Source organism: Homo sapiens, chromosome 5 (genome assembly GCF_000001405.40).
Source record: "Homo sapiens chromosome 5, GRCh38.p14 Primary Assembly".
In the NCBI taxonomy this organism is placed as follows: Eukaryota; Metazoa; Chordata; class Mammalia; order Primates; family Hominidae; genus Homo; species Homo sapiens.
In genome coordinates this window covers 70,635,290-70,658,963 of record NC_000005.10, presented here as the reverse complement: position 1 = coordinate 70,658,963, position 23,674 = coordinate 70,635,290, and the positions used below count along the sequence as shown (strand labels likewise).

Here is a 23,674-nt window from a genome sequence, read left to right as displayed (position 1 = left end):
TCCCTGGTAAAAGCCACCCAGACAAGAAATGCCTTTATTTGAATGTTATTAATGAGAAACACATTTTAAACTTTCAGCCACTTTAACTTTGAGGATTGTTTGTTAAAACAGCTGGTGTTACCCAAACTGTTATAGGAGTCTACTAAATATCATTTCATTTTTTTCCCTTCTCAAACTCAGAATGAATTGGGAGATAGCCGTGGGCATTAAAACTGTTTCAAGAAGTGCAACTTAGCGTTCAGGGCTGACCTCATGAGCTTCCAGAGACATCAGAGTAAGTGACCCTTATTCTAGTTTCGAAGCTCTGTTCTAGTTCTAAGCATGCAAATAAATTTTAAGCAGGATTTCTTAGCCTGCAGGAGCTGAGGATGATTAATAAGTCCTGCTGTTATGCATAAATGCACTGACCTATACTGTGCCCTTCAGTCAAATTGTATATTGTTTAATCGTGATAAATGAAGTGCACCAGGCACAGATAAGCTAGTCCCTGGAGTATGTCCAGATACACCTGAAAGAAGAATGACTCAAGCTGGGTGTGTAAAGCTACACTTTGGAGGATAGAGCTTCCCACAGGTGCAATGGAACTCTCACTTCTCACTTGCTCAGAAATTATGATCTGCAGTGTGAGTCTCCCCTGGTAAGGAAACGTGTCCAGCTCCTTGAAACATGTTCTAGAGAACAGCATTCATTACCCTCCCATGAACTTAAACATGCTTCTTGGCTCCTGTGCATTTTAGGTAAGTAAGCTTTGATTTCCCCAGGTGGTGTCGGTGTCTAGTCTTTTCATAAACTTGCACTTACTATTAACATGGAGAGGACATCCACAGGCCGAGATACATTGCCATGTCTTGCATTAAAAGCAAATGAACCTGAAGTTTTTTTGTAAACAACTTACGAAGTTTCATTTGATTTGATTTGATTTTTAATAATTCCCTGAATTGCTGTGATAATTAGAGTAGTGAATTCATTTCTGGTATGTTTTAAAAGTAATTCAAGGAAAATAATTTTGCAGAATCCTGATTTAGATAATATGAAGAGTGAATAGGAAAATGATGAAATTGTTGCTGCTTTTTACAGAGGCTTAGAATCATGGAAATCATTTGCTTTCAGGTATAAAAGGGAATAATTTCATTTTCTACTTTTTACTTTAAATTTCTGTTATCTATGTCTACATGCTTCTGTCCATTTCTTCATAGTTTGTTTTTTAAATAATATGCTTCTACCATTCTCTGAAAGCTATTTTAATTTTTCAGCTTGAATATAAATTGGTTGATACTGGCTGCAAATTATTTTTGGTATTCTAATTTGTCTATTTTTCTTTTTCTTGAAATGGAATAAATAAGCTTCACACACACACACACACACACACACACACACACACACACACACACACAAACCCTAAACAAACAAAAAAAATCACACAGCACCAGCAAACTACTAGGATTTACTGTAGGATAAAAGCTCTACATGGCCCTGCATACAAACTTTCTGCATACTTCTGCAAATTTTTATGCATTACTCAATCCATTAAAAATCACCTTGGAAGAAATTGCAAACACAATAGAAACTAAATGAGATAGTCACAGAGAACAACAAAAATAGTAATTTAAGCTCCCATACAACATCAAGTGTGTTCAGTCTATTTTTGGTTCTTCGGGTTCTCTTTAAAATTGAATTGAGTTTGTATATGCATATGTATGTAGGAGTGGAGGATGGAATTAATTATCCCAAACATCCTACACTCACTCCTCTAATATTTCTTTTGTTAACATGCAAATCTGTTCTCTTCATTACGGTGATACTGCATTTACATTACAACACAATTAGAGATCATTAACTTTCTCCTTTATAATCAGCCATTTTCACAGGCCTTTGATATACAAGCACCTATAATATATTCTTACTCATCTCACACTTTCATTTACCAAAGTGTCAAAACAACATTTTTACATCATTGATATTTGTTTTAGTTTCTGCAAGCTGGCTGTTAGAAGATGATTACTTCTCTTAAATTACCTCTTACCCTCATCTTGCTATCTTTTTAAAAGGAAAGAAAAAGCACTATAAAAATCAGACACTTTGGGTTCTGAACCTTTTATTTTGTGTGAAAAGATACTTATTTATGTATGCTAAATCACACTGATGCGGAAGACAAACTGGCTCTTCGTTATTTTTTTTTGGCACTTTATAGAGGAAATGTGTGGAGAACAGATCTTTCCTAAGGTATTATATTCATGTGCCTTAAAGATTAAGAATACTCAATGCGCCAAGAAGTGCTATATACCAGAAAAGTTTGTATCAATTAATGTATCTAAATTAAGTTAAAGTTTCTTTCAATTTAATGTGCTTGCAGATGTAAAATTGCATGTTTAAGTTTTGCAGTTATGTACTAAATCTGGTGCTACACTTCTAATGTCTAAAGGTTTTATTCAATTTCAATTTATTTGTTTTATAGTTTGCCAGAATGTGCTTATGAAAGGCACTCTCAGTCATAAAAATAAAATTATAAGCAGACTGGCACATAACTATTTTTTTAAATAATAAACTTTCTGATTTTAGAGACTTGTATTCTTTTATAGGTCCTGGTTCTCTTTCACGCTCTGACCTATAAGAACCCATACAGCGTGCATTGCTGTGTATGGAAAAGCAGTAAAGGGAAGTACAGCCACCTTTTAGGTCCCATGAATAGCAAAATCTCTTTGACTAATCTCTTGTTTCAGGGTATGTCCACTCCTTGTTTAAAGAATGTAACTGGCTGGGCTTGGTGGCTCACTCCTGTAATCCCAGCACTTTGGGAAGCCAAGGTGGGCAGATTACAAGGTCAGGAGTTTAAGACCAGCCTGGCCAATATGGTGAAACCCCATCTCTACTAAAAATACAAAAATTAGTCGGCCGTGATGGTGGGTGCCTGTAGTCTCAGCTACTCAGGAGGCTGACTCAGGAGAATTGCTTGAACCCAGGAGGCAGAGGTTGCAGTGAGCCAAGATTGTGCCACTGCACTCCAGCCTAGGGGACAGAGTGAGACTCCATCTCAAAAAAAAAAAAAAAAAAAATGTAACCACACTCAATAGTCACTAGCACATTGTTTTGAATAGACTATATACTGAAAGATATCTGCTGGATATAGAATGACCTCAGGAAAAAGTCTAGACACTATAATCCATCTCACTTGCCAGCATTTAGCGACCTTTCAGCTTCATTACTGACTTTCAGCCAGTGTCCCTTAGGTGAGTGACTTGAGTCCTCTTTCATAATATTTGGCAGGAGAAAAGATGAGGTCATTGCTCCATCAATCCCGTCATGTCATGTCTGCTCATGTGTCATAGCTTATAAATAGTTACATGGTTCTGTCCAAGTGCAAGGGGGGCATTGCAGGTAGAGGTCTGTCTCCATGCGCCTTGAAAAGAAAATAACCAAATATCAGGGGAAAACAATAATATGAGCCATAGTGCCTGATATATACTATGACATCATAGAGATTTAATGAGTATTAATCAGGATTCAATGGCTGCAGGAGACAAACAGTTTCACAAACGAGGGTAATTAACTGGCTCATAGGCAATATCTCAAGAAAGGTGGGGTATTGTTATACTTCATGTGTTGCAGAAACATAGATGCTCCAATTTTACATGTTCTTTCTGTGTATGTAACATTCTTTGCCTTCTGGGTCTCAGCTTTATCTCTCAGGTTGACGTCTGTCACAGCTGTAGAGATAGTCACTGTCAATTCCTAGTTTCACAGTCTCCCATTTTCCAGTGGAGTCTTACTCTTTCTTTGTTTCCAGTTCAAATGTACTGGTTCTTAATTTAGCTTCGGGACCTATTGAATCAGTCTGTGGAAGCTGGAATAATATGATTAGGGCAGCAGAAATGAAGAATGCTTCTTTAGACCAATCACTATGTCCATGAGGCAGACTAAGGACTACATGACCCTAATAAATTTTAATTTCTAGAGCTTCTTATCTGGATCCTGAAGCAGTTTCGGCCTTTATACTATGAGAGACTGAATACACTAACAGACAATGGTGGTTCCACACACAGAAAATCAACTCTGACCTCTGCAGCAACCAGTCTGCAGCGATTGGTCCAAATGCTTAGGAATTGGTGGGTAACTTCCAGCTTCCCTAAGTGTTTCCCTCCAGCTTCCAATTTAGAACCAACCAGAGAATGCTAATTATGCAGCTTCACCCATCAAATAGGATGTTTTGCTTCTAGTTATCCAACCTTTAGATTCCCCATGACAATAATTTCCAACCAGGGCATTCCTGCAGCCTTCTGGTTTTCCCATGATAAAGCTTTCTCACTGCCTGCCTGCCTTTGATTCGTTGCCATATTGCAAGTGATGGTGGCCAACTCCCTGGCTACAGCAAGCTCTGACTGAATAACCTGTATTTCTTTTCATTTGAGCAGTCTTAGCTTATTTTTATAACTATTGAGGAAACGTTGTAGCAACCCTTACACTAAATGAACTTAATTATGCCAAACCTTTACTTACTACTTAAACAAATACTCTTCCAGACAATGTTACCAAACAGTGTCCCCTTTGTTGTGAAATCTTGTAGATACTGTTTAATTAGTAGAATCCTCTTACTTTCTTTTCCCTGTCAGTTTTACAGTATCCAACTGGTCCCGTGTATGATAGAAAACATTTCTATAAGGTAACACAGTATATTTCAACCCACACTATTACTATTGATGAGATTACTTTGCTATTCACATCTCATAACATTAGCAAAAATGCACAAATCTTAAACTGCCTTCTTTTTCCCCTCCAGGATGAAGGACAACCACATATTTAGCTGACAGTGATTCAAACTCTCATCTTGTCCAAAACTGACTTAAATGGCATAACTTTAATTAACTCTGATCTTACATTATCTGTTGACAGTTTTCACCTAGAATAGAGAAAATTAACCTTGTTTTGGATATTCTCTTATCTCTGAAGACTCCATCTGCCTGGGTTGCTGAATCAATTTTTGTAACTGGAACTCACAATCCAGCCTGAGGCAAAAAGTGAAGAGTATATGAGAGAGAGAACATTTATGTAGATAGTAGACAAGCACTAGAAATTGTGCATGATTTTGGAATGAAGGGCTCTTAGGTTCATTTTCGACTCTTAGCTGCAAGTATAGAAATTAAAAAGAAAATTAATGTTTTATCTGACTCCTTAAGAAATTATAAGTTAATTTAAACATATCTACTCCAGTGAAATAGAAATGAAATCTAAAGTTAATTCTCAGGCATATTGCTTTGCAAGAAATGCTCCTCTTCATAGAAAGCTGCCCAAGTAAACAAAATACTCCCTTACTGTAAACATTTATTCCTCTTTATGAAAAGTTACTTGTAAAAGAATTTTAACTAGGTATTGAGATTTATTTGACAGTTCAATGATAGCCACTCGGTGGCTCCTAAATCCGTACAAATAACATTAGCAATCACACTGTGTGGATCTACCTAAAATACTAAAGGTATCTCAGAATCAGTGTTACTAAGATATCGTGGATGAGTTTGTCTAGAGAAGAGCAAGCATGCCTTATCTGGAAATTCTGTAACCACCACAATGCTGATTAATCTGTAAAAGTGGGTCAAAACTTTCAACCACTATCACAGGCACTTTAACCCCCTATAAATGGACATTGTACAAATACCTTAGTCCCAAGGAAACCAATATGTCCTGGAGATTGTTTGTGAATGTCCCTAGTGGAGCAAAGCCTAAGTATAAGAATCTTTTTGGTGTGTTTTCCCCACCTGGGATCTCCTGTCAACCCTGTCAGCTGAAGGAAGGGCTCATTTTACAAGGAAGTGTTTTTGACGATTTTGCATGGTTGTCTTTATCTCTAAAGCATAATTACACTTATAATCTGAAAAGTATATAAAAGATAGAGATATTAAGTTGTTTGTTAAAAATAAGTAATCTGAATGTTCAGAATGACTTCGTCTCCCTTGTTCTATAGTGCTTCTTTCAGTGTTACTAGCCATGTGATCCTCAGCTTTAAATCTTACAGGCTTTTTCTTGTGAAGTGGTAACTGTAAGAACCATGAACTTGGATCTAGTTACTACATTCGCCAATTCTTCATTTTGTGGTAGTTGTTGTTATTTTTCTTTATGAGACAGGGTCCTGCTCTGTTGCCCAGGCTGATGTACAGTGGCATGATCACGGCTCATTGCAGCCTTGAACTCCTGGGCTCAAGCAATCCTCCAACCTCAGCCTTCTGAGTAGCTGGAACTACAGGCATGCACCACCATACCTCACCATTTTCTTTTTTTGTATATATACATTTTTTTTTCGGTAGAGAATCAGTTCTTCATTATTAAGTTTATAAAATACCAGCCAGAGGCCAGGCGCAGTGGCTCACGCCTATAATCACAGCATTTTGGGAGGCTGAGGCAGATGGATCACTTGAGGCCAGGAGTTCAAGACCAACCTAGACAACATGGTAAAATCCTGTCTCTACTAAAAATACAAAAAAATTACAAAAAATTAGCCAGGCATGGTAGTGCCTGCCTGTAGTCCCAGCTACTTGGGTGGCTGGGGCATGAGAATTGCCTGAACCCAGAAGTCAGAGGTTGCAGTGAGCCGAGATCATGTCACTGCACTCCAGCCTGGATGACAGAGAGAGAAGCTCTCAAAAAAATAAAAATAAAAATACAGCCAGAGATCGATTTAACTGTTAACTATTATTTGATGTAATTAGCTACATACCTATCATATAATTAAAATTCAGTATTGAGATGGTTGTCATAGGGACACTTCAAACCAGATTAAGTTTATTTTAAAAGTGAATTGAGAGATTTTACTTTATAAAAAAAAAACCAATTTGGTTAGTTTGCCATTTAGGCTTCTAATTTTGATCTGAGGCCTGCTAACCCTGGAGATTACACAAAGACTTTGTGAGGCGTACTGCGGCCAGGCAAAGACTTTTAAAGAACAGGTTTCCAGGTGTCACATTCGAATACTTCTTTCATCATTCTTGCTGTCCCTCTTTCATTTCTTCTTTTTCAAAAGAATTCTTCTCCCACAATGTTTCTTTTTTTAAAAGAGAAAAATATATCTCCACTTTTTTTAACTTTACCTTGGTGCTTTGTCCCCAGGTGTTGAAATTTCCAGGATGCAAAACGAAGGGGCAATTCAAAACATTCATCTCCACTTCTCAAAAGTAAGTCACCTTGATGACTGGGTAACAAAATCTTGCTAATCATTTGTGTTTTTTGTTTTGTTTTGTTTTGTTTTAGATTTTTAATTACTTTTAAAAATTTGAAGAAATACCTAGTTGAATTGTCAATGGACACCTGCAATTTTTGTTGTCATTCTTCAAAGGAGTTCAAAGAATCAAATGTCATTGTTATAACAAAGCCCTTCCAATCCTATCCACTTATTTCTGAGAACAAGATTTCTCAGTTCTTAGATCTTATAAAAATAATGATATAGGAATAAGAATGATGTGGAACCTGCCACCTTCTAGCAATAAAAAAGGTTCATTTATAAAAACATGAATTTATAGGCAAAACATTAGGAGGTAAATTTCAAAAAACGCTTTTGCAAATAATTAAATTTTAAAATCTGTCACATGTTTATGTTTTAATTCAACTTTTAATAAAATTTGAATGTATGGAGGCATTTTTTATTTTTTCCTCCTTATCACTCTGGGCCATAAAGCTCCACTTCTTTCAGAACATGTGCATGAGATATTTATACAGCTCTTCAGCTAAGGTTACTAATATGCAGCCCTGTGATGCCACCAGTTATAATTCTATTACTGCATTATTACTCTTTCAATTAAAAAGAAATAGTAGAAAAAACAAAGCAAACAAACAAACAAAAGGCAAAATAATTGCATTTCAGAGGATGTCTGTTCCCGTGTAAGGTGCGCCTGTCCTTGCTTCAAGGGGAGTGGGTTACTTTTTTTTAAGTTTTTATATTTTCAAGATTTGGGGTTTGATACAACCATTTTTTTTTTAACTTTAAATTCTGGGATACATGTGCTAAACGTGCAATTGTGTCACATAGGTATACATGTACCATGGTGGTTTGCTGTACCTATCAACCTGTCATCTAGGTTTTAAGCCCCACATGCATTAGGTATTTGTCCTAATGCTCTCCCTCCCCTTGCCCCCCAGCCCCCGACAGGCCTTGGTGTGTGATGTTCCCCTCCCTGTGTCCATTTGTTCTCATTGTTCAGCTCCCACTTATGAGTGAGAACATGTGCTGTTTGGTTTTCTGTTCCTGTGTTAGTTTGTTGAGAATGATGGTTTCCAGCTTCATTCATGTCCCTGCAAAAGACATGAATTCTTTCTTTTTTATGGCTGCATAGTATTCCATGGTATATATGTGTCACATTTTCTTTATCCAGTCTATCAATTGATGGGCATTTGGACAACCATATTTTTTGTTGAGTTTTGTTTCTTTAGTGGCTTAGCCATCTCTGCTGGTTTTAGTTAGTTCCAGCTGAGTCAATGGCTCATCTTAGACTGCATTTCTACCACCAACCTCTGCAAGGAAATACTCCACAGGACTTCTGGCCTAGACCTGAGGTTGCCATGGATTCATATTGAGCAAGTGAGTTCCATGTACACATCCCAGTCTTTCCTCAAGTAGCCTGCACGCCCTGTCTCCACCCTCAGTTTAAGAACACCAATGAGGTTTTTGAGATGTTCTTCTTACTCTCTGCCAAAGCAAGATATCTGATAGAAGGAGAAACCCTGTATTGACTCCCTGGCTTTTTGTTTATTCCAAAATTATGCTCTGTCTGGCTGACACATTGTGAAATTTAAGGGGAAAATTAGACCTTTTCCTCATTTCACTTTCATTGTTTCTTTTTTTAAAATCTATTGTGTATTTCATTCATTTTGGGGGGGGAACAAATTCTACAAACTGCTTTAATATTGTCCTTTTTTTCTAATATTCACATTAACTTTTTATGTAAAACATACCAATGCTTTTAATAAAGCTTACATAGGAATAAACTATTATAGACCTGCATAGATATAAGTACACATGTATTAATCTACATTAAAATAATGGATTTTATTCTGCGAAGACTCCAAGTTGCTCCTGGGTGCTAAGTGAAGCACTTAGGGAAATGTGTTCAGTCTTTGAGGTCATAGGAACATTAGATTATATCAAAGGAAACCTGGAGCCATCAGCTAAGTGGCCCTTCTGTCCTGTAGATACATAAAAACTAATGTGCTCCGCTATGCGGCTCACTTTCTGCTATTAGATACTATGAGGCACTAAGAAAAAACTACTGCCTGCATCATATCTTTCTTCGGTTTGAGATAAAGAGAATGGCCAGAACTGTATACAAGTCATGAAAGGCCCTGGTGTACATTTTTCAAAGTAGTGCAGATTGTGTTGAAATTATCAGTTTATCTTGCATATAAAAAAAACGTATATACACTTTGAGTAAAATATAAAAAGTGGTAAATATCACGAAAAGTTTGTTTTACTGTAACCATTTCTTGTTCTATTCTATTTGAGTATTTGCTCTATATATTTGATATACTTCCAGAATGCATCCTATTCACAAAGCAGGCAATTACTCTATCAGTGTATACAGTTGCAGAGTCTCTCCTCTATTCAGCTTCATTTGTACCTCCACTCCAGCCACTTGCAGAAATGGCGGATGCATCAAAAAGACTGGTTACAGGCCTTGCAACCTCCAAGCGGCTAATTACCAAGATGTTAAGTAAATGACCATTGCTCTTTATCATCCCCAATGGCGTATAAAAAGGATGTTAAACAGGTTGTCTCATGTTCCCTATACATTTATTCATTCCCGTGTTAAAATACGTCTTATGGGAAAAACAAAATTCACCAAAGAATGAGGAAGCGAACATGTGTTAACAGAGGGACTTCTGGCTAATTTTACAAAGAAGGATAAAAATTCTCAAAATATGTGTGGGGTGGATTGCGGGGGTATTACATATTCATAGCATGCCGCAGAAATCATTTTAAGTCTATCAAAAACAACTATATTGTGCATTTTCAAATAAGCACATATAAAAGATGAGCTATAAGAAGAGAGAAGGATGCTAAAATAAATAAGTGAAAGAGAAAAATGGCTGGGCACGGTGGCTCAAGCCTGTAATCCCAGCACTTTTGGGGGCCGAGAGGTCAGGAGTTCAAGACCAGCCTGGCCAACATGGTGAAACCTGGTCTCTACAAAAATACAAAAATTAGCTGGGCATGTTGGCTCATGCCTGTAATCCCAGCTACTCGGGAGGCTGAGGCAGGAGAATCCCTTGAACCTGGGAGGCGGAGGTTGCAGTGTGCCAAGACCGCATCGTTGCACTCCAGCCTGGACAACAAGAGTGGAACTCCGTCTCGAAAAAAAAAAAAAAAGAGAAAAGTAGGTGAAAAGAAGTAATTAAATGGTAAGGAAAGAATAGGTCAGGACAGGAATCCAGGATGACTTTACTATATTTGAACCATAGAACATTAACCAAAATCTTATTTTTCTTCCCCTCAGTAGTTTGAAGTTGAGCAATATCTGTGTCTTTTGCATCACACTCTGAAATTGCAAATTATTTCTTGTCCTTTCAGATAAATGATTATGCAAAAGAAGCCCAGAACTGGCACAATTTAGAAGGTTTGAGGTTGCTCTCATGTGTTTGTAGGGTATGCTATCATCATCCCATAGCCTAAGGCTGTAGTATTGGACTCTCTGGAAGCAGCTCTGAATGTGATAGGATGGAGATAATTGAAGATACAAGCAGCCATTATGTGTCTGAATATTGGTTTACTAGAAGAGCTAGATGTGTAGGAGCACATCCTTACTTGACAAATGTCTGACAGAATGACCTGGCACCATTACTGTTTTAAATGTGTAATATGCTATCTCAACTGGGACATTTTATGAAAGCTATAGGTTGTGACCTACTGTTCATTACACTTAGTTTCTGAGGTGCCAAAGACTGATGTGTGAGCCAAAGTTCATTATTGTTCTTCACTGGATCTTTGCATTTATTAGTCTGATGTTAATGGGATTCGCTCTTGAGTTGGATTGATGTTCAAGGTTAGAGCGACAGATGAGCTCCTGATCTTGACCAGAAATGATTTGCCCATTGCCAATTAGAAGAAGAAAAGGGCAAGGTGGAGGTTGAACTTGGAGTTAATAGGAATAATAGATGCTGAGGGTGCAAGATGAAACTCAGTAAGATAATACACTCTATTCTTAGACTGGCAAATTTACATAGTAAAGAGAACTTTTATCATTGTCATCCAAAGAAAATATAATCCTAAGAGAAAAAGTCCAGCTAGTTTTTTTTTTCTTTTTTGTTACCTGCTCATAGGATATAAACTTATTTCTATCACACACAGGTATCATTTTCTACACTTAAAACACTTCTTCTATTTCACACAAATGACAAAAAATGTCCTTCAATTATTTTGACACACGATCTCTCAAGATACATATCGTTTTATATCAACTATAAATACAAATTTAAAATTTTGATAAAAGAGAAATAACTGGAATAAAACAAAGCAGTATTTTTTAAAACTATAGCTTTTCCCCTAAGATATTCTCACACTAAAGAATTTTTCCCAATTCTTCTCCCCCACTGAGAAGTACAGTCTTCAAAAATTAGTCCAGGTATTAGTGTTTACCAAGGAGGAATATTTTGAACAAGAATAATCTGATGCTACTTTTCATTTGTCAAGTACATTTTCTAAATTATATTCTAATAAGAGAGAATATGCACATTTGCATGTCATGATTCTTATAAATATTTACTGAGTACTGTCTCTCTGTAAAGAACTACAGTGGGATGGATTTAAGATATATAATACATAATTTTTCATCTTCAAATTGTTCACGTTTTGTAGAGATAGTAACTTGTGCATAAATGACTAGAATGTTAAGTTGCTAAGTGACAAGTGACAAAAATGTTTAACCTGTAAAATCTTCCCCTTGGGAAATTGAGGAATAAAAACTTCCAACTAAAGGAACAAAGATTGTCATGAGCAAAGTTGTATAAAAAATAAATTAAATGTAGGATAATAAAGGTAGTGTATTAAAGTGAGAAGGGTTAGGGTTTCTTAGGTGACAGACTGGCTTGATTTTGTGACTTGTGTGATGGTAGCAAGTTATGTAACACCTCTGAGTTTCCATATCTTCATCTGTGAAGTAGACATAGCTGAACCAACCACATGGAATTGTTGCGAGGGTGAAATGCAATGGTGTGTGCAAGTTTCTAGGCAGTGTTGGACTGGATCTACTATTACGCTATACAAATGATACTTAGAATTTTTACAGTTATGCTTAATATTGTCATAATTCCAGGAAATGAGAAAAATCTCAGCAGAGGTACAAAACGGGCAAGCTCTGGGAAAAATGATCTTAGTGGGTTTATTTCAAAGGATGCTTGAAAGTGATCTGTGGAAAACAAAATTGACAAAAAGTGCATGTTGAAATGGAAATTAACGGGTCTTTGAATGTTAAGAGAAAGATAGCGGGCATGCTCTTTCATCTGTCTATCCCTGGCCCTTAGCATGCCTGGTGCTTTTCAGTGCTCCAGCTTTACGTGTTTAATCGTTTTTGTTTCATTCGAAATAAATGTTCTCATAGATATAGAAAACCAGCAGGCAATAAAATATATATTCTGAGCTGTGATTTAGTGGTATTATTACTTAGCAACAGTGTGTAGGATGAATTACAGAAAGCAAAAGTAGGGCATAATTATAATCACTAAGACTAATTATCAATATAAACTTTTGCCAGAACAATTGTAAATATATGGAGAGGTGATGCACATGAAAAACACATTAAAATACCCTAGGATTTTGCCAAAATAAGCTGTGTAATAAAACAAAGGGAGAAGAAATTGAAGAATATGATGAAGTTTAAATTGAGGTTCAAGGTGTTTTGCATGAAGAAAGATGAGAAATTTAAATTTGAGATATGATGAGTTTATGGTAGGAAATTGAGATACCATATTTTGCCAGTTGGACTAGACCTCACAAAAAGACTCAAAATAAGTATGCAGAACGCATTAGTTTAGATATATTTGAAGAGACCATGGGAAAAAAAGGAAAAAGGGAGGAGTTTAAAGAGTCAAACAAAAAGATGATGGAAAGGCAGTGGGAGACATAAAAGGGAACCAGAAATCTTAAGAGGAGAAAGTGTTCTGAAGAAACACACAAAGTCAATTACTTAAAAAGTTGAGAATCACTGGCAGTGCTGGATGATCGTGACTTTTTTCTCTATTTCAGTAAGCGGGCGATGGACATTAGAATGCAAGAGATGGATGAGGTATGGAAGTAGAAGGAATAAATGTCAACTATTATTTTAAAACATTTGCACAGAAAGCAAAGTAGGATAAGAGCTTAAAAATAAAGGTTCTGTTTATTTTCATTTTGTAGTCGTAGGGAAAATGTGGGCATGTTAAAAGAAAAGCTGAGTGTAAAAAGGGAATGAGAGGACAAATTGAAATAGACATGGGTTCAAATCCCAGATCCCACTGGACATCTCTGAGGCTTACTAGACATCATCTGTAAATATAAGATAAACACCTAATATAAAATGTGTTCAGCTATAAGAAGTTTGAGTTAGTGTATATGATTTTTAGAAAATCAATTTATCATATACAATAAAACATATATTAAATTAGACAGTTTGATGCATATTGACAATTGTATATCCCCTGCACATTTCCATCATATATGAAAACTTCTCACATGCCCTCACCATCTCAATCCCTGATCACAGGCAACCACTGATGGAGGTTCTGTCATTATGTACAGGATATATCTTTTCTAAATTTTGTATAAGTGACATCATACATGTGCATTATTTTGTTTCTGTCTTCTTTATCTCAGCATCTTGTTTTTTGAAATTTGTTCTTATTGAGTACATCAGTGGTCAGCTCCTTATTATTGCTTAGTGTATTTCATTTTAAAAGTATAATTATTACATATTGTGTGGAAAGATTTAAACATTCAGAAAATATAAAACTCAGTGCAACTATTTTTTCCTACTCTTCATGTATTATAATTCAGTCTTTTTGATAATTTTATATATATAGAAGGTATGATATTTATATTACATTTAAAATTTAGTACAACTTTTATTAAAGTGTACATATTATTTATACAATGCTTTTTTCTTTTCTATATCTATACAGCTTACCCATTTTTGAGAAGGCTGCATTTTTTTCTATAACATGTATATGTTGTACTTTACTTGTCTATATCCCCATTAAGAGATATGTTGCTTCCAGGTTTCATTATTATAAATACTGTTTCAGTGAACAGCTTTCAATATACATCTTTGTGCCCATGTGACAATAAAAGTATTTTTGTATGCATCTGCAAGTATAATAGTTATAGTGTCCATGCATTTTCAATTGGGTAGTTGTTTCAAAATAGCCCTACATTTTTCAAATAATTCTAATTCAAAGGACTGCTCCCCTTTCAAACCTGGTAAATATTGAAGTCCTTAATGCTTTTGCCAGAATTAGGCTGAATTGACAGAGCACTGATATGTAGAAGATATATATATATATACATGTATATTATATATATAATATATTATAAATATAATATATATATATAAAATTCTTAAAATTTAGCAAGTAACTGAACAACAAAAATGACAGATAAAAGAAGCAGGTCATGCATAGCCTATCTGCCTGAGATTTATTTAACCCTTCTTCAGAAGAGGCTTTGATTCTTGTCTCTCTGTGTCTACCTATAGACAGCATTTCTCCCAGGAAGCTTGCCCTGACCTCCTAGAATTGGTTATGTACCATTTATATATTTTTCATATTCCAATGTACATAACTCATAACAGAAATTATCACAAGGGAACAGCTGTGGTTTTATTGTTATGTCTAGCTATCCAGCTATCATCTTCACCAGACTGTAAGCTCCTTGAAGGCAGAAGCCAGATTTATCTTCATGACCTCTGTGTTTTAGATGAGGTCTCAGAGATAGAGGTCAGAATTTTCCCTCTAGGTAAATTAATTAGATTAACCTCAACTTATACAAAACAGTAGTCATTAAATTTATCCCCAGCCATCAGGAGCTTAACTACTCTGGAGAGAGAGCCAGGTGTTGGAGTAGGCAATTAAGACATCAAGACAAAAGGACATTAACAAACCTTTGAGGTTAAACTGGAAAAAGCCCTGACGGTCCAGTCCCCATCCTTTTTTTCCTTCATGAAACAGCTCTATCAAGGATCACATGGGTCAGCACAGATGTGGAGTTGTCTCACTATCAAAGGAACCCTGAACAACAGGCTCCTGCCTGCAGTTTTATGGAAGGTCAGGAAAAGGCTGGGAGCGGAAAAGCACTGAGTATTGAATCAGAAGGAAGACAATTGTCTTCAAGACTCCTCCTCCTCTCCCCATGAAAAGGAGGTCTTGGGCAAACATGCCTGGGGAAGGTCTGCCAAGGTCCCACAGTGGAGAGGCCTCCAGGGGAGGCACCAGTCAAGTGATGCTGATCTGTGTGTGAGCATGGCCCTGCAGCCCTTACTGAAACTGCCATTAGAGGACTATGCACTAGTGTGGGGAGGGCAGCTCTCCCTGTGGGACCCACTTGGTCAAGTCTTTGTCATTGTTTATGGATGGGCCCAAAAATCACATATAGGATTGAGTCTGGGGCTGAACTCTTTACTGCTCTGTCTGTATTCCCTGTCTTGGTTGACACCTAATACATGACTAAGAAACTAAGAAATCATTTCAGACGTCGTTTTTGTGTCTGTGTTTTATGCTTTGTTGGCTTGAAAACTTCATCCAATAAAACTTTAGTTATTTTTATTACCATTTCTTCCTTTATGACCCCACAGCATCCTCCATGTGCCAGGGTCCAAATCATCTTTAACCCGGACTATTCTATCAGTACCCAAATATATTCTTTCATCAAAATATATTCTTTCTCTTCTCTGGCTGTAATCTCATTCATTTCCAGGCTACTTCTTTTCAAACTAAAAAGCAAATATAATCACACTATTCTCTTTCTTCAAACACTTTCCCAATTCCTAGAGTAAAATCCCCCTTTTATAACATATAAGGCCTCAGTGACCTACCCTCAGGACTTCTTTAATTATTCTCCCATATTGTCCTATTATGTACCTGTTCCATCATCCTTACAACCCTCAGAACTCCCTAATCTGTTTTAATGCCACATTGTTATGCTCTTAATTTCCTTTGATAAAATGATTCTTTCCATTCATAAACTAGTTGATTACCACAACTTCTTAAGTATTCTATTGAAGTTTATCTTATTAGTCCATTTCACACTGCTATAAAGATACTACCTGAGAATGGATAATTTATAAACAAAAGAGGCTTACTTGACTCACAATTCCACATGGCTGAACTTATAAGTGAACTTATAATTAAACTTATAATCATGGTGGAAGGTGAAGGGAAAGCAAGGCAAGTCTTACACTGTGGCAGGTAAGAGAGAGAGCATGCAGGGGAAACTGCCACTTATAAAACCATCAGATCTCCTGAGAACCCCCTCACTATCACAAGAACAGCATAGAAAACCACCCTTTTGAGCTAATCACCTCCCACCAGGTCCCTCCCCATGACACATGGGGATTACAATTCGAGTTGAGATTTGGGTGGGGACACAGAGCCAAATCATAACATGTATCTTCTTTGCCAAGATTTTCCTTACAACGCAAAGTAGATTGACATATTTTAATTTCTTCCATCCCACCCCACCATAATATTCTTACCTCTATGACAGTGCTCATCAAAATTTGTAGCTATTATTTGTTTAAATGACTTCATTATGCTTCTTAAGAGGCATAAACTTTCTGCTATATTCATCTTTGTATGCCTGTCACACATTACATTGGCTGAGACAAGGTAAATATTTAATACATATCTATTAAATAAGAAACTTAAAAAAATAAAAGAGTGAATGAATAACTGTATCTAGGAAGTATGAAAGTGTCTTATCTTTTAGCATTTTTCATCAAGGAATTAAGAAATGTGTGGGGAAAAAGTTAAGAGGCCCCAGTTAAAATGGCTTTTATCCCAAATTCAGGCAATAACAAAAGTTGGCGAGGATATACAGAAAAAGGAACCCTTGCACACTGTCAGTGGGAATGTACATTAGTATGACCCTTAAGGAGAACAGTCTGGAGGTTTCTCAAAAAGCAAAAATTGAGCTATCATATGATCCAGCAATCCCACTCCTGGGTGTATAACCAAAAGAAAGGACATAGTATATCAGAGAGATATCTGCACTCCATGTTTATTTCAGCACTACTCACAATAGCCAAAATTTGGAATCAACCTAAGTATCCATCAAGAGATGAATGAATGAAGAAAATATAGTACATATACAAAATGGAATACCATTCAGCCATAAAAAACAATGAGTTCCTGTCATCTGCTACAATGTGGATAGAACTGGAGGTCATTATGTTAAGTGAAACAAGCCAGGCGCAGAAAGACAAACTTCGGATGCTCTCACTTATTTGTGGGAGCTAAGGCTTAAAACAATTGAACTCATGGAGATAAACAGTATAAAGGTTAACAGGCTGAGAAGGGTAGTGAGGGTTTGGGAGGAAAGCGGGGCACACTAATAGGTACAAAAACATAGTTAGAAAGAATGAATAAGACCTAGCATTTGCTAGCACAACAGGGTGACTATAGTCAAAAATAATTTAATCGTACATTTAAAAATAACTAGAAGAGTATAATCAGATTGTTTGTAACACAAAGGATAACTGTGTGAAGTGATGCATATTCAATTTACCCTGATGTGATTATTATGCATGTATCAAAACATCTCATGTACTCCATAAATTTTCAAAAGAAGTATGTATAGCATAATGCTTAAAATAATATACTGTAATAGTCTACAACTTGGCAAGAAATTAAGCTTTCGTTTATTTTTGTCACAACAGGTATACTACATGCAGATTAAAATATATATATTTTATATATATATATATATATATATATATATATATATATACCATTTATCTTTTAAGGGCATTTTTCATAACCTTGAAATATAAACAATAAAAATTATGAAGCAATAATTTATTTTTTTAAAAAAATCCACTTGCCAAACAAACAAGATACTCCTTCCAGGATGTCAGTAATATCAAGATAAAATGCCAGAGAATTTTAGCTGAGTATAGTAAATCAAACAGCTAATTTTTAACTTTGATGGAGGAGAAAATTAGATAAATTCTGAAAATTCATCCATCATTTTTAGAGCACTAACCTTATGTCGCTGCCAACAGAGTTGTAATGGGCTTTCTCGTTCATCTAGTTGGTTTTAGTTTTTTTCTGTTCCAGCAGACCTTCCTCGCTCTAGTCCTATAGGACCCTATCTGTCCCTATCTGTCCCTGTCTGTTCCTCCAAATCTCTCCTAGTCTTTGCTAGTCTCTACTTTTGTACCTCTTTAGGACACAGACCAGTACCTCTTCAGGGCACTGACCTTATATTGCTAGTCTTTATCTATTCCTATCTGTCTCTGTCTGTCCCTATGGTACCTGTTAGTTCCTGCAAGTCCCCGTCTTTCCCTACCTATCTCTACTTTTCTCTACTTACTTATCTCTACTTACTTTTCTGTACTTACCTCCACTTATCTCTGTTTATCCCTGCAGGCCTCTTCAGGTCCCTCCAGGTCCTTTCAGGTCTCTGTATGTCCCTGATAGTCTCTGAAATGTCCCTGTTCAGGCACCATTTGTAGTTGACTGTCACTGCTACTACATGAGACCATCACAAGTATGTTGAATTGAGCCTGGAACTCCTAGATGATAAACATTTTTTTATACCAACCTTCAACTTTTTCATTAAAATTAGATTGGGTAGATACTATAAATAGTGTCCCAAGCACTAGTGGAAAGATTCTACCATGTCTTACACTGGTTACTATGAGTTTGGAGTCAGAGGTATAAGGCTTGAAGAAAAAAGCACAATGAAATACAATTTTATCCACCAATCTGACATTTTTAAGTTTTAGGAAAATTGTGTCTTAATTCAAGCTGCTATAACAACAACAAAAACAACATACACTGACTGGTTTAAACAATAGAAATTTACTTCTCGGAGTTCTGGAGGCTGAGAGTCCAAGATAAAGGTGCCAGTCAATGGTTACAGGTAAAACCTCCATTCCTTGTCATGTCCTCATAAAGAGACAGAGAGAGAGACCAGACAGAGAGAGAGAGAGAGAGAGAAAGAGAGAGAGAGACTCATGACCTAATTATTTCCCAAAGGCCCTGTTTCCAAATATCATCTCAGTGGAATTAGGGTTTTAACATACAAATTTTGGGGGCGACGCAAGTATTTTTAGTCCATACCAAGTTAGATGCAACTTTACCAAAATTATTGTGGGTAATTTGACAAGGTAAGAGAGGTCAGTGAAACGCAAATTATATGATAACTTCTTGGTGCTCAGGCAGTATACCTGCCAGGTTGTCTCCTGGCTAGAGGAATGAAACAAGTAGTATTCAACAAGACTTTGGTAGTGAGTAAAACATGGCATATAAGTTGTTTTTTGTGGGAATGACATAGTCTAAATATTATTTTGATGACATACCTGTGTATTGACCTCTCTTGCATCAAAATGACATAAACATGGAGAAATAATTCTGAAAGTCAGCAGGAACTTGCAACTCACTTCTGGGAGGGGACCACTTAGGGGAACTATGATATTAGACTGTGGCAATGTCGACCTCCACACAGGAGGAAAGAGTAGTCACATACCCTAAATCTTGCGTAACGTGGTGTCTTAAAATTTCAATAAATCTACTGAGTTAAATTAACAGCAAAGCAGAAAAATTTGCCAAAGCTATTTATAGCTCCATTAAAATGGAAGACAAGTTAAGAAAATGTGTGTTCTAAATAATCATGTCAGAAGTTAGTGTTTCCTTCAAATATAATCATAGGCCTAAGAATTTTTATCCAAGATTGATGAAATTTTATTTTACGCAACAATAAATGGAACACAAAGGCTGCACATCATTTTTTTGTCTTCTGTACATATCACTAAAAAAAAAAAGCATCAAACTAAAACAATGAATATAATATTAAATAGGGATTTGTTAATTGCTAATATTTTTAATATAGAGAAAGAATAATGTTTAATGATTAATTACAAAATTGATGAACTAGAATAGTGAGAAATCAAGGAGAGCTGAAATTTATGGAACTTTATGATAAACTAATAAAGGACAATTTTATTCCTAGCATTTTAATTATTTGCTTTATCATTGCATTTTAAATGCAATTATCAAAAATAAAGGTTATAACTAAGAATTTCAAAAATTCTAATTATAGCAGAATTGGTAACAAAGAATTGAATACAGAGGGTGAATCTTATATTGCTTTATTATTATTAAAACTAAGGAAATATTTAGAATTTTGTGTACTAATTTAGCTACGAAGGAAAAGGAGGGCGTCATCATTTTAAAAATGTTTCCACATTGTCTACAGAAGCCTAGATTATTAAAAAAAAGAGTGGCCTCAGATAGATATCTGATTGGAATACACTACAAAATCTAGTAGTCAACTTGTTAAGATATCTGAAGATTCCATTTAAGACAGATTGTGAAAAAATATACTGGAAGAAATAGATTTTATTTAATATCCTTAAACATAAAACTTTGTTACCTTCTAAAACACTATATTTAGTTTTATTTCTATTTTATAATATTGTATATGATGTGCTTTCTTTTCCAGGTAAAACTAACAAAAGACAATAAAATGTTATTAACTTGAGTTATGGTTAAAGTAGAAGAGCTGTGGATATTACACTACATGAAAAAAAATTCTTCCACAGATATTATTTGTGTATGCATACATCGATAGAGATACACATAGATAGATACAGATACAGATAGATATCGATATAGATATAGACTTGGCTATAGAGACTGTGGGTTTTTTAATACAGCAAGAAAAGAGAAATATTTATTTACACTGGATCAACAAAGGAACTAGGCTATTAACTCAGATTGTAATAGTCTAAAATTTTTCCAAAAATTAGGAAAAATAAAATATTTATATGAATTTTACCTGGAAGTGTTTCAAAATAGTTTGCAAAGAGTGAGAATGAATTTCAACTTGTGAGTAAAGGGTAAAACTGAAATGAAAGTTAAAACAAATAGTTTCCCCCTTTCATTATTAGATCATGATTTATTGAAAACAATCTTGATTGTTAAATATTGATTAAAATTAATGAAGGTGCAGAGTTCCTAAGACCTTGTCATTTGAACGTTATGAATATCTTCACAATGAAAACATTATTCGTGTTATTTATGTGAGCTTATATGTACTTTTCCGCATAAATAATTTGTACTCTTAGTTAGAAACAAATGAACTATGGCTTTTGGTTTGGTTTTGTTTATTTATGAATAAACATTAAGAACTGTGCTTATGAAATTTTCAGGAAATATACTGAATGCTTTAATGTACTCTGTAACATTGCAACATATAATTTCCCCTCTTCCCTCACTTTTTGATGTAGCTATCATTGCTTTGAGTTTTTATTTACTGGTTATTTTAAAGAGCTTAATGGTCTCATTTACTTAAAAGTGGAATAATATTGGACTACTATTTTCTTTTTTTAACCTCTCTAGGTCATTCTACAGTCATTACCTTCCAGCCTATTTGTTTCTGCAGAATCTACGTATGTAATACCTATAAATTTTCTTTTCATATTTGTTCACTCATCCACATCATTAATAAAGTTATTAAGTGAAGACGAACCCAGCAGTAGCACTCCCTTACCACCTTGAAATATTGTGCTGATGTAGAGGTTGTATCTGATTTAATTCTTCAAGGATTATTAATGTATGTGGAACTAGCTTTTCAGCCATGGAAATCTTTAGTACGTATTTAAGAAAAAGTGATTTAATGCTCAGTAGGGAAATGTTGTCCAAAACAGTGCCTGAAAAAAGCAGGTATGTGTCCACATTGGGCACACTGCAGGTGGGGTATATTGTTGAGATAGGAAGGAAAAATAAAATGTGAGAAAAGGCAAGAGACAGAAAACAAAGTGCAGGTCGGGAAGAGACAACTTTAACTTCCACCATTTGTTAATCAATTCTGAAATATTTTCATTTTTACAGCCTAAAATTATGCATGTGTTGGCATTTTTTTAAATGGATGATATTACAGTTTTCATTCAAGCATTGGTATAGAGCCTAACCTTTTGTTATGGATGAGATGTTTAGATTGTTAATCTGGAAAATCTATTTTCCTGTTATTGAAGTCACATATATACATATATGTATATATACTTTTATATATGTGTCTATATATAGTAAAAATGTGTATATTTATTTTAAAAAGTATTTTGGTTCATGTTTTTGTTCTTAATGTCCTACTAAAATTACTTAATCATAAATCTTTCTACTAACAGTAAGGCAGAAACAGAGTAACAAGGGATTTTTTTTTTCTATTAAACTGAAGACAGAGAAGTTTGGTATTTATTTTTACCTAATATAGCAAACTTCAAAAAACAATCTATTTCAATAAAAATATTTTCCCCAGCTACAGAAATAAACAAGGGATAATATATAATCTAAAAATGTAATGGAAGAAAAGGCACAGCATTAAGAGATTGCCTTATTTTCCTTTCTAGCACATCTTGCTCTTAAAATATCCATTAGTCTATAAAGGGTGCTATTTACAAGGATCAGTTTCCCTGTATTTCTGGGTTGAATGATCCTCTACTTTTACTATCCTTTGCTAAACATGACAAAATAAGAAAATAAAAGATAAATATGAGATGAAGACCTCAAATGACATCAATTTCATTGCCTCTAAAAAGTTGTGATGATGAATGTTACCACTACTCAACTGAGTTTATGAAAAGGCAAATATACTTTTAAAAATGTAGGGGTGCTTATACAAAGACTTATGTGTTTACGTTTACTTTTTTTATAAGCTGATTTAATCAAAAGATTTAGTTAGTAATGTATTGACTCAAATACTTTATGCCTTCTATTTCACATTTTTTACAGGTTTATAAGTCTAGATACCTATGTCAATTAGTGAATTTTCTACCAAGAGTTCATGTTTTGTTGCTTAAAGGCAGATAATTTTTTTATTTAAATAATATTAAAAAGAGGAAAATATTTCAAAATAGCAAGATTGGGAGGTGTCTGGGAGATTTATATGTATTGCTTTTATTAACTATCTAGCACTGGATTTATAAACCAGCTTATTTTTTTAATTTAAAAGCTCTCTGCCTTGCAATTTAATTCACATGATCTGCATTAACCATGCCATATTCAAAATTTCATTGATAAATTCTATCCAGTAGTCAATATCGAATTGTAAACTGATGTAATGTGCTTTAAAATATGAAGATTTAATCTTTAAAATATGAATATTTGATTGAATAATTACTACCACTAAAATCATGTTTACTTATTAGAATTATCATATAGGAATTGTTTTATAATGTATATGTTAATTGAATGTGATTTCTTGATACTTAGGATATACGTTAAGTATACATAAACAAATTGGAAATAAAGTTCTGATATACTGTTCCATGAAAGTTTCAAATCTTTATATTAAAGATTACCATTTGAGTCAGAGGCAATGATAGGATTTTCTGTACTTTATCCACATGTTTATATATACACATATATATATGTTTTCATATAACCTTTCATAAGGATAGAAAAGAACTATGAATGTTTCTCCATCAGGCATCTTTCAAATACAACATAACAATAA

General features: G+C 35.0%; 1 long non-coding RNA gene across 5 annotated transcripts in view; it reads left to right on the top strand.

The window, feature by feature from the left end:
* The window catches only part of LOC107986355 (uncharacterized), a 102,717-nt gene that overhangs the window by 60,563 nt on the left and 18,480 nt on the right, over positions 1–23,674 (top strand). The window contains exons 4-6 of one of the 5 annotated variants that reach the window (XR_001742423.2): positions 181–274; positions 7,093–7,157; positions 13,214–13,280. This is a non-coding gene — a long non-coding RNA (uncharacterized LOC107986355). Of the gene's footprint in view, positions 1–180; positions 275–7,092; positions 7,158–10,543; positions 10,617–13,213; positions 13,281–23,674 lie in introns of those variants that run through there. The other 4 variants (XR_001742424.2, XR_001742420.3, XR_001742425.2 and 1 more) reach the window with 4 other exon arrangements.